Genomic DNA, 16,780 nt, shown 5'->3' on the forward strand with positions numbered 1-16,780 from the left:
TACCTATAATTTTTTTTTTTTTTTTTTTTGAGACAGAGTTTTGCTCTGTCGCCCAGAGTGGAGTGCAGTGGCACAATCTCGGCTCCCTGCAACCTCCACCTCCCGGGTTCAAATGATTCTCCTGCATCAGCTTCCCGAGTAGCTGGGACTACAGGAGCTCACCACCACGCCCAGCTAATTTTTTTGTATTTTTAGTAGAGACGGGGTTTCACCATGTTGGCCAGGATGGTCTCAATCTCTTGACCTCGTGATCAGCCCACCTTGGCCTCCCAAATTGCTGGGATTACAGGTGTGAGCCACCACATCCAGCCAATTTTTTTTTTCAAAGACAACGCAAATATGACAAAAACAAAATTTATTAACTATAGATATTTATTGCATTATTGTATGTACTTTCCTGTTTAAATATTTTACAATTTAAAAACAATTTTAAGAATTCTCTCAATATTGATCCTCTGGGCACAGTGGCTCATGCCTGTAATCCCAACACTTTCAGAGGCTGAGGCGGGCAGATTGCTTGAGGTCAGGATTTCGAGACCAGCCTGGCCAGCATAGTGAAACCCTGTCTCTACTAAAAATACAAAAAATTAGCTGGACGTGGTGGCACATGCCTGTAATCCTAGCTACTCAGGAGGCTAAGACAGGAGAATCACTTGAACCCTGGAGGCAGAGGTTGTGATGAGCCAAGAACATGCCACTACACTCTAGCCTGGGCAACAGAGTGACACTCTGTCTCAAAATAATAATAATAATAATAAATAAAGAATTCTATCAATATTGATCTAGAGAAAAAATATCAAATTTTCTGCAATTATTAAAAAAATAAAAGAATTCTATCAATATTGATCTAGAGAAAAAATCTCAATTTTCTGCAAAAATTATTGGTTAATTTAAGCCATTTTTATACCTCAAGAAGACCAAAGAGTAATAACCTCTAATATATTTCTTAATAGAAATAATAATATTTTGATATATTTAAATATATCTACCTTAATCATCAATATTGTGGCAATAGATTATATATCTATTTAAAACTATTTCAATTTTTAAGTGTTTTTACATAAAGTACATTTTTAAGTATTTAGTTCACTATTTACTGCACATTAGTTTAAGTTTTTTTTTCTGTTATACTTGTTTCTGCTCTCTTACCATTTTTACATTAAAAAAAAGTGTGAGAGGGCTTTTCAATTAGGTGAATCTAAAGTCTTTTTGGCTAAATTTTTCTAAAATTTTAGTTTAAGAAGTTTTTTTCTTGTTGATTTCTCATCCAGAATACATATTAAAAGGGCATTTGCCACATTAAATTGCATTGAACTTCCTTTTCAAAGCCATTGTACTCATAGAACATGTCTATCTATCCTTGAAGATGAATTTGACTGGAGTCATTTGGCTTCCCTAATCGCTCTGCTTTTAAATTTAATCATGAAGAACTCCGGGTACTCAGTGCTAAGAACTAATGATTGCCCTGAAAATGTCAGTCAGCCTAAGTGACTGACAATTTTTTCTTTGTGAGGTGAGTATATGACATTAAATACTGGTTGAATAAAAGAATAAAAAATCAGAGTAAAGAGATCTTTGTTTTATAAATTAGGTATATTGTTCCTCTAGATCTAATCTAACTATAGTTGTGATTATTTAAATCTGTTCAAAAGGAATGAACTAAATTCTGGTAAAGGAATAAGAGTCCTGAACTGGGAGACCGGGATCACTCTATCAAAATCTGCTGCTAATATGACTGGAGATTTAAACACCTTCATCTTTAAATTATGAGTGCACAACTAGATAATTTCAGTTGTCTCATTCAATTTTATGTTTCTTTCTTTTTCCTTTTTCTTTTTTTTCTTTTTTTTTTTTGAGACGGAGTCTCACTCTTGTCACCCAGGCTAAAGTGCAGTGGCGCAATCTCCGCCTTCTGGGTTCACGCCATTCTCCTGCCTCAGCCTGCCGAGGACCTGGAAGTACAGGTGCCCGCCACCACGCCCAGCTCATCTTGTATTTTAGTAGGAACGGGGTTTCACCACCACGCTGCCGTCAAACTCCTGACTTCAGGTGATCCGCCCACCTCGGCCTTCCAAAGTGCTGGGATTACGGGAGTGAAACACCGCGCCCGGCCGGTTTTTTGTTTCTTAACTGGAGAGCTGGAGCCATTATGAGCAAAATAAACATAAAAGATTTTTTCCGTCCAACCGATGGACTAAGCTAGACGTTGTATCTTCAGCATTTTCTCTTCATGTACACCATTGACTATTCAGCACTATACCTAGCAAATATCAGTCATAAATGAAAACTATAGTCTGTTTTCACAGAAATGTTTCTTGTGATTTTCCCTCTTCGCTATTCTTATTTTCATTGTCTTAACTCAGGTCATCAGCATCTTTTCCCATGAACTACTGAATTTTTCTCCTAACAGACCATGTTCTTCATCTTCCTGCATCCCATGTATCTCCAATGTTTCCAAGGTGTCTTTCTTGATGAAAAAGCACTGATTTTATAAACTTCAATCTCTTCCTTTGGTTTAGAGGTTAAAGCCTAACCCATATATAGAATTCTGCATCTTTCCCAATCAAGTTTTCTTATTTTTCTAGTACAGTCTTTTGCCAATTTCCATCTTCCTTCTTATCTTTGGATTCACATCCCCAACTCCGGAGAAGGCAAAAACATCAAATTTATTTACATCAATCGTTTATTTTTTCCCACTTTATGCTTTTGGCAATGCTGCTCCTGCTGCATAGTATACACTTTCCCCTTTTTATCAGGTGAAATTCTACCTATTTATAAGTCCCTGCTCAAATACTAATCATATTGAAAGCTTCTCTGAATACCTTGGAAGAAAAAGTTCTGCCTCCCTCATCTGAAATCATCTCATAGCACTTTTATGTAACCCTATTTTAGTACTTAACACATTGAGTTATATTTAGTTATTGCCCTTATACTTTCTCTGGTAGATTATGTGCTAATTTCTTTCTTTCTTTATCCATCTATCCATCAAGAATTAATTGAAGACCTGCTATTCATCAGATACTTTGTTAGAATATAGGGGACGGAGTTGTAAGAACTGATTTTAGCTTTAACAAGTTTATTCTTTATATGGAAATCCAACATTTAAGTTAATTTTAATTTACAATATAGAATATTGAGTGCTGTGGTAGGTACTCGTCTCTGCAGAGAATATTTTGGAAAAAAGGAGCATTAAAATCTACTGCATAGGAAGGTAAGAATTAGGCCCAGGGACTTTCTCTGGTTGAGGTCGACCATTCATTTATTAACTATTTAGAGTGGAGTATAATTAATTCTCGATAGATGTCATTAAATACACTTTGTTTCGAGTACGTCGAGGCTTATTCTCTCTAGTGTGTTGGATAAAGGCCACAGGTAGTGAAGATATTTCAGAGATGTGAAGAATCCAGTAGGAATGACAACATCCAGCACTTCCATTCAACCAGATCCCACAGGGAAAATGTCAGTTTTGTGAAGGCAGATACATTAACCACATACAACTCGATTAATATAAACAAATAATCTTATCCATTGAGCTCTCCCACAGACCTTCTTGGGCCCAATCAGACAATAATGAAGTGCAGGCGAGACAGCATTCTGCACTCACATTCCAGGCACTGGTTCAAGTCCCTCCTCCAGGTCCCTCAAGAAAGAGACAGGATGACTGACTTACTGTATATTTGACTCATTTTCCTAGAAAGTGCAGACTCGCTATAAAATGTGTTAGGTGGTGAGAACGCTGATGGTTCACCGTTTTCCTCCACTTTCAGCCTCAGTGCAAACCCTCTGCCCAAAGCCTCGCTCCAGTACGGAGGAGCTGCGCCTTCAACACACTTTCTCTGTTGCCAGGTAACCACTTCTCCCTCAGCCTAGTCTCCAAGGGTCACGAGCCACTTCCGCCTCCCCCTCTCGGGCGCTCCAATCAGCGACCTGTGTAGCTGTCACGTGGGCCTCTGGGGCAGACCCTGGAGATCGGGCTCGCGGCGCCTTCCATCGTGGCTCCGCGCTGGGGCTTGCGGAGCACGCTTCCCGCCCCTCGGAGCCCGCGGGCCCGGCCGCCCCGCCCCCGGGCGCCCTGAGCGAGCAGGCGGGGAGGGCGGGGAGGGTCCGCGCGTTGGTGGTGCTCGCCTCGCAGCTGCGCCCGCCGGCTTCAGCACCTTCCGCTGTCCGCCGCTGCAGCCGCCTCCTCCTCCAGGTAAGAAGCCGGTGGGGCCGCAGAGATACCAAGGCAAGCTCAGGATTGATGTGGGTGATGCTGGAACTGTCGCGGCGTCATGCGAGAGGGGCTCTGACCTCCCTGTGATCGCGGACCAGGGTAATGTACGTCCTGCAGGGCTTTGCACACCATGGTGCCTGATGAGATAATCAACTGAGTTTTAGAGCCACACACCTGATTCTTACAAGGCACAGCAAGCAGCGAATATTTATGTATCTAAACTACCATTGCAGTGTAAACTGTGGACATTTCGAGGGACATTGTTTTATTTTTATGGCTATTAAGTATATGTCTAGAGCCTAGGTTGCTGTTCTCATCCCTCCGCCGGCCAGACACTTCTGTATAGATCATTTACCCCTTTGAAGATGGACTTATTAGTAGGGTTGTACTAAGAAAGGTTTGAGTAAAAAGGAAATGCGTTCCAGAAAAAAGACGGTATTGGATATAAGGCAGGTATACTATTTATTAAGTAGATCGTAAAATAGAATCTTTGCTGTCCTCCCCTCTCCAAAATCAGACTTGTTTTGCTTGCAAAGATTGAAAGGAACAAACAATTTAAGGAGACTTTTTAAATATATTAATTAAAAGCAATTGATTCGAATGAAAAGTAATGAAAAGTCCGACCATGCATCAAAAATAAATTATTTTGCATATTAATATATACATATATACTATATATATTTAACAAGGGTTTGAAGAGAGATACTACATTTCTGAATCTTTCATAAATACCCTTTAGAGAAAACTATCAAAAAAACACAAGTTCGTTGTAAAAGGATACGAAACGGCCAAAGCCCAACAATGTGAGATTATAGTTGCCGTTCTTAGCACTCTAATAACATTTCTGCGTTGTAAAAATTAGAAAATAAATGACAATGAATTTATGAGAATTTATAAATTTGAACTCCACAAGAGTTTAAGCATTAATTTATTTGTAGATTTATGCCTTATCATTACCCTGCTTGCCAGGAGCTGATGCTGGGCGGGTGGTGAAACAAACTCTGTGGAGAAAGCACTCTTACATCCTTTTGAGATTCTGCCTCACTGGCCTAAGTGTTCAAGAAAATGGATATAGTTATATCTAACTGTTTTGAAGGCAGACGTCTGAGATAGGTGGTCTGAGAACCTTTCCCCTCCTATCATCTAAAATTAAATATAGTTATTAAGTGCTTTTGAAAAGTTGTCAATTCGTTAATATTTTGGGAAACATCCTTTACTGGATTGTTTGGAGATTAATGTTACAAATGGTAGCTTTAGAGTTCCTGGGAAGTTTTAAAGCAATGACTTATTTCAAAGGGCATATACGGAAAGTAAAGCTCTTGAGTTCTGCAAACGTAATTATGTAAAAATAACTAGTTGAATGTTATTGTTTACATTGTTCTGACTTTCTCTTGTGTTGATATTAATAGAACTGCTTAAAAAACTGTGGACATCTGAAGAAGACGTTAAATATGCTTACTTGAAAGTTTTAACATTCTTTATTCTTCTTATTTCTAATGATAAATAGTGGTGTTCTAAATATTTTTAAGTTACCCATTAGTCACATAAATAATTCCATAGATTAGAAAGCCATAAATTAATTTAGGCCAGAAAAACAATGCTCCCAGTAGAGGGGAGACTAGGGCTAGATTGCTTTTGTTGTTGCTGTTTTCTACAGACTCTATCTTGTATCCTTTAGTCTGGGAAAGGAGGGACAGGGCCAGTGGCAGTTTTTTAATTACTTGGAGAAGTTTAAGAACAGGTTTCTGTTTGTTTGTTTTATGGTTTTACCCTGATGGATACTAGAAGTCCAACATGAATGATTAGGTTGTCACTATTAATGAAATGTGTAAATTCTCCAGAGTACCTGATTTTGTTGCCTAAATACTTTAATGACGACTAAAATGTAATTCTGACAGTTTTGAAGGATTCACATTTTCATCCTATATTCCAGAATTTCTTTGAAATCTAACATATGCAAGAAAGGTAACGCTTTATCAGATTACTGAATTGTAATACTGAATACTTAAGAGTTTACCCAGCTATTCATGATAATTATGTATATGGAAGCATCATTGCTACTTTTGACCACTGCTGAATTATCTCATTTTACATTTTGTATACCTCTTCCATTGAACAGATGGAAATATTAAAGTGAAGTCATGTATCTTCCAGTACGTCTTCAGGAACAGAGATTTCATCGAAATTATATTAATTTATAGAAATCATATGAGGATAGGCTGCGTGCGGTGGCTCATACCTGTAATCCCGGCACTTTGGGAGGCTGAGGCAGGCGGATCACCTGAGGTGAGGAGTTTGAGACCAGTCTGGCCAACATGGTGAAACCCCATGTGTACTAATAATACAAAAATTAGCTGGGCGTGGTGGTGCACGTCTGTAATCCCAGCTACTTGGGAGGCTGAGGCATGAGAATCTCTTGAACCCAGGAGGCCCGGAGGTTGCAGTGAGCCAAGATTGCGCCACTGCATGCCAGCCTGGGCGACAGAGCAAGACAACGTCAAAAAAATTAAAGAAAAGAAAAAGAAAAAAAGGAGGATATTGGAAGGGATTTTTTATTAATTCATGCTCCTTTTCTTTTGTATCAGAAACATATGAAACTTAAGATTTGGTTGGTACTTTTTGATACCCAAGACTGTGCTTTATCCTGTTAAAATAGTATCGTGATTATTCTTTCATTGTTGATAAAACTATTCCTTGAAATTTGTGAGCAAGAAATTAGATACGGATACCTGAAGAGAATTTTAGAAATTCTCCCAAAGAATCTACTCTATAAGGAAACAAAACCTAGAGAAAAACATTTTTCTTATTTGAGTTTACTTAAAATGTTCACGAAGGACTTGCAACTTTGGTAATAAAAATTGGTAGAAATAATATAAAATGATCAGCTTTGTATAGTAAAAGAAAAATTCCCATCACGATTAATTAGAAAGATTTGAAAAGTTTCCATGCTTAAAGCATGGGCTGTCACATTAGAAGGCAGAGTTCAGGTTGTTTTCATCTGATTTCAGTGACTAGACAGGTATAATTTCAGTGACTAGTCAAACATTTCAAATAGGCTAGATTTTGTAAGAAAAAAAAAGAACTTGATATTGGAGCCACAGCTGGCACCTGCCTTCCAGATGTCACATTATCAGCTACTTGAGGAAAATAATTTATATATATATATTGATAAAAGTCTTACTTTTTATTATGTTAAATGTACTTACAAAGTATTGTTCAGTAAGCTGTCTTATAAAATTCTGTAATTCTACATTCTAATTTAAAAAATGTACTGTAGAAATAGACAGTAATATAAATCTATAATTAAGATAATACAGGAGGTAATTTAACAATGTTATTTGCTATGATAAGGATGATTGATAATTGTCATGTTCGGATAAATTGTAGCAAAAGTGTAAGAAATAAATTTCCATGTGTCAGTGAAGATGTTATAACAGTCAATACTTGTTTTGTACATTCAAATGTTCTGAGATGGAGAACTCAAGATTGAGGTCCTTAAACAATTTTTCTTATGCTTAGGTTTATTGTTTTCTTCTTCCAGATTCTTCCCATTTTTTTTAGTTGTAAGCATGTACCAGTGTCCCAGGCAGACTCATTTACAATGATGTGTAGTAAGTTCAATTTCATATCACGCACACAGAAAACTTACTTTCAAATCGGAAAGTAGAAAATAATTTTTATTACACAAAGCACTCGTGTTTAACATGCTATTAAAAAAACCCTTCATTACAATACAAACAGCTCCACATGGAGTCTCAAAAAAATGAATAGTTGGTTAATAAGAAATAGCTAACATTTAATTAAGTTTGATTCTTTAAGATAAAACATTATGGATGACTTTTAATGAAAAGAGTTATGCAACATTTTATTTTTAAGGTAAACAGGTTTGAAGGGGTCATTTTGGAATTTATGATAGAAGGATCCTTAAGACCAGTTACTCTAACACCGTTATTCTGTTAATGAGGACACTAAACACATAAAAATTATGTTCTCAAAATTAATAAGGGAAAAGCTGGCTTATGTTCTACTTCTGAAGCTTTACTTGGGAGTACCATGAACTACTAAATAAATGAATTTATTCCTGAAAATATAATAGTGGATACGTTTCGTTAACATTTATATATCAATAGTAGCTTTTTGGGCATAATGTCTCACCTTCAAAATTAATTCATTAGCTCATGTTTAGGGGGAATTTTATGTTGGCTCAGAGCGTAATATTTGACTTAGGCAGACTAATATGTAGATTACCAACCTATCAGATCTGTGCCTGGGCCCTACCTTAGGTAATACAGCCCTTTACTTAGCAAATTAAAATCAGACTTATTTCAGGCCTCTGTCAATATATTGAATGCATATATTGAAGAAAGTTTCGAGTTTAGTTAGTTTATGTAGATCCTTTTTTCCCTTTTTTTCCACTTCTTTTTTCTTTTCTTTTTTTCTTCTGAGACAGGGTCTCCTGCTGGAGTGCAGTGGTGTGATCATGGCTCACTGCAGCCTTGAACTCCCAGGCTCAATCAATCCCCCCACAGCAGCCTTCTGAGCAGCTGGGACTACAGGCACGCACCACCACTCTTGGCTAATTTTTTTTTTTTTTACTTTTCGTAGAGAAGACAGCTCACTATGTTGCCCAGGCTGATCTGGAACTCCTGGGCTCAAGCGATCCACCCAACTTGGCCTGCCAAAGTCCTGGGATGCATGAGCCTCTGTGACTGGCCCTGTTTTTGTTTTTGTTTTTGTTTTTTAATATTCAAGCTTCTAAGCATCCATTTGATTTTCTTTGCTGGTTTTCCCAAACTGACTTGCCAAAATAATTTTTAACACCTTTTCCCAGAACATGAATATGCCAGCATTAAGTGACTTTCTGCCCAATGGGGAATCCTAAGTTTGATAGACAGATAAGCATGAAGGCTCATCCTGCTTCAAAAACTCACATACAAAACCCAACTCACAAACCAGGTTAATTAGAAGGGGAGCGAGGGTCCTGGGGATTACATAGCAATTTATGGCAGAGTTCCTCAAGTCTTTTTTTTTTTAATGAGCAGTGATTCTATTTATAAAAATAGGGGTATACTTTTTGCCACACCCTGTTGAAGAAATAATCTTGTATCTTTTTATGACAAATATTTACTTATTTCCTTCCATAGTGTTCTCGCAATGGAATATTTACTTCAAAAATTCTTAGTTTATAATTGAAAATATGTGATTTCTCCCTTTTCTTTTTTCTTTTCTCTTTTTTTTTTGAGACAGAGTCTCACTCTGTCGCCCAGGCTGGAGTGCAGTGACACGATCTAGGCTCACTGCAACCTCCAGCTCCCGGATTCAAGCAATTCTCCTGCCTCAGCCTCCTGAGTAGCTGGGATTACAGGCGCAGGCCATTATGCCCAGCTAACTTTTTTATTTTTAGTAGAGACGGGGTTTCACCATGTTGGTCAGGCTGGTCTCAAACTCCTGACCTCGGCCCACCTTGGCCTCTCAAAGTGTTGGAATTACAGGCGTGAGCCACCACACCCGGCCTTTCCCTTTTCTATTATTCTTTGGATACCTCTCTCAGAATGGTCACAATGAAAGTATATGAATGAGCTTGTTGAAGTAGATGTGGATTACTTCTTTGATCAAATCAAAAATTATTTCCATGTTGCAGCACAAAACGTTCTGTAATCCTCTAAGCATCTGGGTAAGTCTAGTTCCAGGATTCAAATCCATATAATTTTCATTTTCATGGCTAAAATGGAGGAAAGTATAAAAATATATGTAAATAGATAATAAAGGTAACTCCATTCATCTTTCTGTATCTTTGAATCGGTGTCTTGCTCTTTTGATGTTCAGTGTTTGGTCTTAGATATAACTCCTGTGTTTTGTTGACCAAGATGGAATTCATACTGGTATAAGTGGTCATTTCGTGAGTCCAAAGTAGAACTGCCATAATGACCTCATTCTTCTCTACTTGCTACCTAATCCAGGATTTTAATGTAGGCTAGTACTGTACTTGTGACCTATTTTGTCTTCTAAGCTTTTAAGAACATCATGATTTGACATATATTGGGAATGCTTAGATAACACTGCCTGCCAAGCATGTAAAAGGTAAACTCAGAAATGCTCAGGTAAACTCAAGCATGTGAAAGGTAAACTAGACATTTCAGAGATTAATCTCAGACAGTAGAAGATACCAGAGACAATTTTTCTTCCAACTCATCTTTATAGACATTGAACTAGGCCAGTAGTTCTTAAGGCTTGCTGTGCATTTAAATTGTCTGAGAGTGATATTGAAAAGCTCCACTCCAAGGTTCTCATTTGTTGGAGTTGGGATGTGATTCACAAGTCTGCATTTTTAGCAAGTATCTAAGTTAATTCTGATGCGAAATACTTGAGAGCCACACTTTGAGATACACTGATTAAGAGATTTTTGAAATCCTATTTATTCTTGATAATGTATGTTGCTATCTATCACAATGAGAATAATGCTCATTTAGAATTATGGATACAAGAAGAGCTCAAGTTAGTGGGCCAATGGATGATTTTTTTAAAATTCCTTTCATTTTTCTGCATTTTCCAGATGTTTTCCAGAGAGCAAGCACCTATGGATTATATGAGAAGACATATTTTTTGCATAGCTCCGAGCACATAGTATATTTACACTTTAAACACTGACATTTCAACAATGTGTTTTTAGGGTTTTATTTTTTAGTAATAAAGGCAATACATTTCCATTACAGAAAAATTACACAATTCAGAAGAGTATAAAAGTGAGTTTCACAAAACTATCTTGAATCTCTGCATCCTGGTATAAAACGCTGACCTTTTAATAGACATTTTTAGGTACTTTTATTGATTTTTCTTACTATTTCTCAGACATTCCCAGAAACACATCTCTGAGTCTTTATTTTTGTGCTCCCTCTTTTTAGCAAGATTTTTTCACCAGATGTCTTATATTTTGCTTTCCTTCAAATGTCTGCTCAGTATCACCTATGAGGACTTCCTGTGCCATCTTTTTATTTTTTATTTTTTATTTTATTATTATTATACTTTAAGTTTTAGGGTACATGTGCACAATGTGCAGGTTTGTTACATATGTATACATGTGCCATGTTGGTGTGCTGCACCCATTAACTTGTCATTTAGCATTAGGTATATCTCCTAATGCTTTCCCTCCCCTCTTCTCCCACCCTACAACAGTCCCCAGAGTGTGATGTTCCCCTTACTATGTCCATGTGTTCTCATTGTTCAATTCCCACCTATGAGTGAGAACATGCGGTGTTTGGTTTTTTGTCCTTGCGATAGTTTGCTGAGAATGATCGTTTCCAGTTTCATCCATGTCCCTACAAAGGACATGAACTCATCATTTTTTATGGCTGCATAGTATTTCATGGTGTATATGTGCCACATTTTCTTAATCCAGTCTATCATTGTTGGACATTTGGATTGGTTCCAAGTCTTTGCTATTGTGAATAGTGCCGCAATAAACATACGTGTGCATGTGTCTTTATAGCAGCATGATTTATAATCCTTTGGGTATATACCCAGTAATGGGATGGCTGGGTCAAATGGTATTTCTAGTTCTAGATCCCTGAGGAATCGCCACACTGACTTCCACAATGGTTGAACTAGTTTACAGTCCCACCAACAGTGTAAAAGTGTTCCTATTTCTCCACATCCTCTCCAGCACCTGTTGTTTCCTGACTTTTTAATGATTGTCATTCTAACTGGTGTGAGATGGTATGTCATTGTGGTTTTGATTTGCATTTCTCTGATGGCCAGTGATGATGAGCATTTTTTCATGTGTTTTTTGGCTGCATAAATGTCTTCTTTTGAGAAATGTCTGTTCATATCCTTCACCCACTTTTTGATGGGGTTGTTTTTTTCTTGTAAATTTGTTTGAGTTCATTGTAGATTCTGGATATTAGCCCTTTGTCAGATGAGTAGGTTGCAAAAATGTTCTCCCATTTTGTAGGTTGCCTGTTCACTCTGATGGTAGTTTCTTTTGCTGTGCAGAAGCTCTTGAGTTTAATTAGATCCCATTTGTAAATTTTGGCTTTTGTTGCCATTGCTTTTGGTGTTTTAGACATGAAGTCCTTGCCCATGCCTATGTCCTGAATGGTATTGCCTAAGTTTTCTTCTAGGGTTTTTATGGTTTTAGGTCTAACATGTAAGTCTTTAATCCATCCTGTGCCATCTTTTAAAAAAATTACAATGTGAGCTCTGTCACCAGAACACCTTTTCCCTTTTCCCTCCATTATTTTTATTTTTCTCTATTCCACAGATTATCTTGAGAGATATATATAAAACTCAAGATAATTGTGATATATACTACACATATACATATATATTTATATATATAATTTACTTATCTGTTTTGCTAATTTCCTTTTTTTAAAAAAGGACAGAGTCTCACTTTGTCATCCAGGCTAAAGTGCAGTGGCATGATCATAGCTCACTGCAGCCTCGATTTCCTGGGTTCACGTGGTCCTCACACCTCAGCCTCATGAGTAGCTGCGACTAGAGGTGCATGCACCACACCTGGCTAATTTTTGTATTTTTGTAGATATAGGGTCTTGCTGTGTTGCCCAGGCTGGGCTTGAACTCCTGGCCTCAAGTGATTCTCCAACCTTATCCTCCCCAAGCACTGGGATTAAATACACGAGCCCCTGTGCTAATTTTGTGATTCCCTGCTACAAGAATAAAAGCTCTGGGCATGCGGGATTTTTTTTAATGCTTTTTTTTTTTTTTTTTTTTTTGCTGTTCTTGCCTAGCACATAGTTATTGCTCAATAAATATTTATTGAGTGGATGAGTAAATTGTGCAGTGATTACTGAAAGTTTAAAAAGTCAATGGAATAATAAACTTCCCCAAATTTTACCATCTAGAAATAGCCAAATATTTACCTTGAGCTGTATATCCTTTTAGTTTTTAATGTGTATGTGTATATAGGTATATATTAATTTTTAAATGCAGAAACATAAGTCTGACATGCCTTTTAAATTAACTACATAGACTTTATCAAATGATTAATTTATAACTACTCTTTTCATATTAAGATGTTTTATGTATATGTTAATATTTTTTCCAGTTTTTTTCTTTCAATTTTATGATCTATTTTAACAAAAAAAATTCAAGATTTTGTTTCATAATTTTTGTAATTTCATGCTTTTTTAATTATAAGGTGACTGAGTCAATTTCTAATATTGTGAGTCGATTTTTCCCTAAATATCAGGAAACAAATTGTTTCTACTGATTACCTTTGTTAAATGAGAAATTTACCATATCTTTGTTTTCTTCTATTCTTCTCCTAAGCTCTAGTACCTAGGAAAACAATATAAGATTTTAAAGTTTTGATAATGAACATTTTAGGTTATCTGTCTTCTCTTTCAATCATTACTTTGTCATTTCCATTTTCATAACCATATTCCATTTTCTTTGCTTAATACATTTTAAAAATTACATTAACTTCCATATTTGAGCTTTGTTTTGATTCATTTTTAAAAAGACTGTAATTTTATTCAAGTAATTTTTTAAGAGGAATACATGTGTAAATTGCCTTCTAAATCTTTCCAGTATGAGAATGTCTTTCTGTTCGTTTTCCCTTCACACATGTATGATACTTTGGCAAATTATAGAGGAGTGAGATCAGCATTTTGGGAGGCTGAGGCAGGAGGGTCACTTGAGGATAGTTCAAGATCAGCTTGGGCAACATAGTGATGCCCTATGTCTACAAAAAAGAAAAAGAAAAAGAAATTAGCCAGGAGTGTTAGTGTGTGCTGTAGTCTCAGTTCGGGAGGCTGAGGCAAGAAGATCACTTGAGCTCAGGAGTTTGAGGCTTGAATGTGCTATGATCGGGACACTGTACCCCAGCCTGAGTGTTGCAGCGAGACCCTGGCTCAAAAAAGGAAAAAAAAGTGAGATCACAATAGTTCTTCAGTTTAATAAAGTTATTATATCACTGAATTTGGGAATTTTGTGCAGTGGTGAAAAATGATGCCAATCTGTTTTTTTCCACTTGTACATAATATTTTTACAAAATACTTCTTAGTTGCTCATTAGAGTGTAAAGAAATAAATTAGCCTTGAATTTGCCTTAATATACCCAGGTATGGATAGTTAACTGTATGTTTACATATATAATATATATATATATATATATATATATATATATATATATATACACACACACACACATATATATACATGTAAGCAAAATATGTGTATCTGTATGTATATATTTAAGCAAAATATGTATATTGCTTAAAACAAAAGCACTTTTGATCTGCCTATTTAGAGTCTTTTTTTAACCCAGTAAATGAGTTGTCGTTGTTGGTTTTTTTTTTTTTTTTGGCTGCATCTCAGATTGTTGTTTTTGTTTCTGTAGTTTTACTTGTGCTTTAGCTTTTTCTAAAAATATTCTTAATATTTTAGTTTGAGGTTTCATTCCTTGTATACTGTATCTTTCAATTTCTCTAAATTTTAAAAAATCTCTTATTTTCCAGTGTTTTGGAAGAGTTTTTTCACTTTGTTCTCTGAATCATTGATATGATTTTTTTTTGCAATTTCAGTTTGGCTCTTTATTGCTCTTTAATGTGGATTTTTATTCTGCTGTTGTCTTTTGTTTTTTTCATAATCATTATTTTAGCCATCTCATCCTGCAGCCTCTTTATCTTAGCTGATAGTATGTTCATTCCTACTCCTGAATGAGAGGCGGCCCATATAGGCTATTGATTACCAAAACACAGAATGTGTAGGTTTCTGCAGGCCCCAAACTCTTTCTTCTTGGATACTGGATCAATTATATCACTATTTGATCAATGTCAAATCTCCTTCTTATATCAACATTGATAGAAATCTATGTCAATGTCCTAATCTAATAGGCATTGTCTAGCAGACTTTCTATTATGTAGTAGATTCTTTTTTCCTGAGATGGAACTTTCTCCCCTCTGCATTGACTCAATCAATGGGGAAATACATGAAAAAAATAAAAATACTTTTTGCTTCCACCTATAATATATTGCTGAAGAGCTACACTTCCTTAGAGTATAGTACTACTGTCTTATCTCACTTTTTCTCCCAATTTTTTTTTTTTTTTTTTTTTTTTTTCACTAAGAGCTGTAGTCACTGAGTAAATATAAGGGCGGGGGTCATGGACTGAGTGAAGAAGGATAGAAAAGGTACATGATGGAAATGAGAAAGACAGTACTACAGCTCCCAGGCCATGCATGGTTTAATAGCTCTGTTACTTTCTGGTTGACATTGATCTTGTTTTTCTAAATTGGGGGCATTTAATGAGGCAATGACAATGTACATTTATACATACGTCCTGGGAGAAAGCTTCTAAAATTTCTAGCAGCATTGTGGATGGTCCATCTATGGCACTCTGTAGTTCCTTTCACGTAGTACCTATGACACCGATTATAGTACCTTAGTGTTTAGAGGAAATTCCTCCCAGATTAAAATGTCGCTGATGCTGAAACCTTATTTTATATGTGACTATGAGTTTTTTGGTGTATTTTTCCTGTGATAAGTGCCAATTAGGGTTCTTTCAGTTGTAGGCAACAGAAAATACACTCATTTTACTAGCTCATGTAACTTAAAAAAAAATCTAAGGATAGAGTTGGATGATTGTATGTATCATTCATAACTAGCTTCAGTGTTAAATTGATGTCATTGTGACTCAGCCCCTCTCTACTGTGCTGGCTTTTTTCAAGCTACAGGTAGTAGCCTCAAGCAATTCTACATATCTCCTCATGATAATAAAATAACTTATATTATCTCTGATTTCACACTACCTGTGGTTTAGTCCACAGAAGAGAAAGGTTCTTTTTCTAGTAGTGCCCATAAAAGTCCTAAATTTCAAGATTAAACACATTTGACCCAGGCAACCACTGATTGCTTTCTGTCACTAAATATTAGTTTGCATTTTCTAGAACTTTGTATAAATAGAATGATACGTTGTGCACTCTTTTTGTCTATATTATTCTACTCAGTGTAATTATCTTGATATTTATGCATTTGTTGCATGTATCACTAGTTCATTCCTTCTTATTGCTGCAGAATATTCCATTATATGGATACATTTTTTAAATCCCTTTGCCTACTAATGGATAGTGGATTGTTTTTAGTTTTTGACTATTATAAATAAATGTTTGAATATTTATAATAAATAAATAAATAAATGAACACATTTGAATTTTTTTCCCATCACTGAACCATTAAAATGGCTAGGGAAATGATGAGTATAAACTGGAATCACCTGCTCTAGTTCAGGGACTGGAATTTTACCTAAACCGGGACTGAAGCAGAGGAGAGGATCATCAAATACAAATGTAATGATTGCACAAAGAAGGGAATGGAGGTGGTGGGGAGGCAAACAACAAATCTTCATTATGGTGTTTAAGTGGAAAGTTGGAAGAGATTCTGTCAGGATCTGCTAGAAATGCTATTTTAACCTGAAACACTTGTATGCCTCTATAGCACAGATGACTCAGGCATATTGAACCTACAAACAAAATAGAACTTTGAATCTTGAAACTTGTGGGAACGAAATTCTTCAACTGGAAGATAAAACTATAATAATTTTCAATTA

The 16,780-nt window shown here is 36.2% G+C and overlaps 1 protein-coding gene across 11 annotated transcripts in view, besides 1 other annotated feature; it reads left to right on the top strand.

The window, feature by feature from the left end:
- Positions 3,830–4,209: a silencer, noted in NCBI's record as "silent region_15814". NCBI's record gives its function as "represses an Ori minimal core promoter by ATAC-STARR-seq in GM12878 lymphoblastoid cells {active_cell/tissue: GM12878}" and the evidence as "EXISTENCE:reporter gene assay evidence [ECO:0000049][PMID:35858748]".
- The window catches only part of WDR17 (WD repeat domain 17), a 116,975-nt gene continuing 104,148 nt past the window's right edge, over positions 3,954–16,780 (top strand). For all 11 annotated transcript variants that reach the window (NM_170710.5, NM_001378103.1, XM_047449569.1 and 8 more), the window contains exon 1: positions 3,954–4,192. The gene's annotated coding sequence lies outside the window, so the exon portion shown is untranslated. The remainder of the gene's footprint in view (positions 4,193–16,780) is intronic.

The sequence above is a fragment of the Homo sapiens genome, chromosome 4 (genome assembly GCF_000001405.40).
Source record: "Homo sapiens chromosome 4, GRCh38.p14 Primary Assembly".
Taxonomy (NCBI): domain Eukaryota; kingdom Metazoa; phylum Chordata; class Mammalia; order Primates; family Hominidae; genus Homo; species Homo sapiens.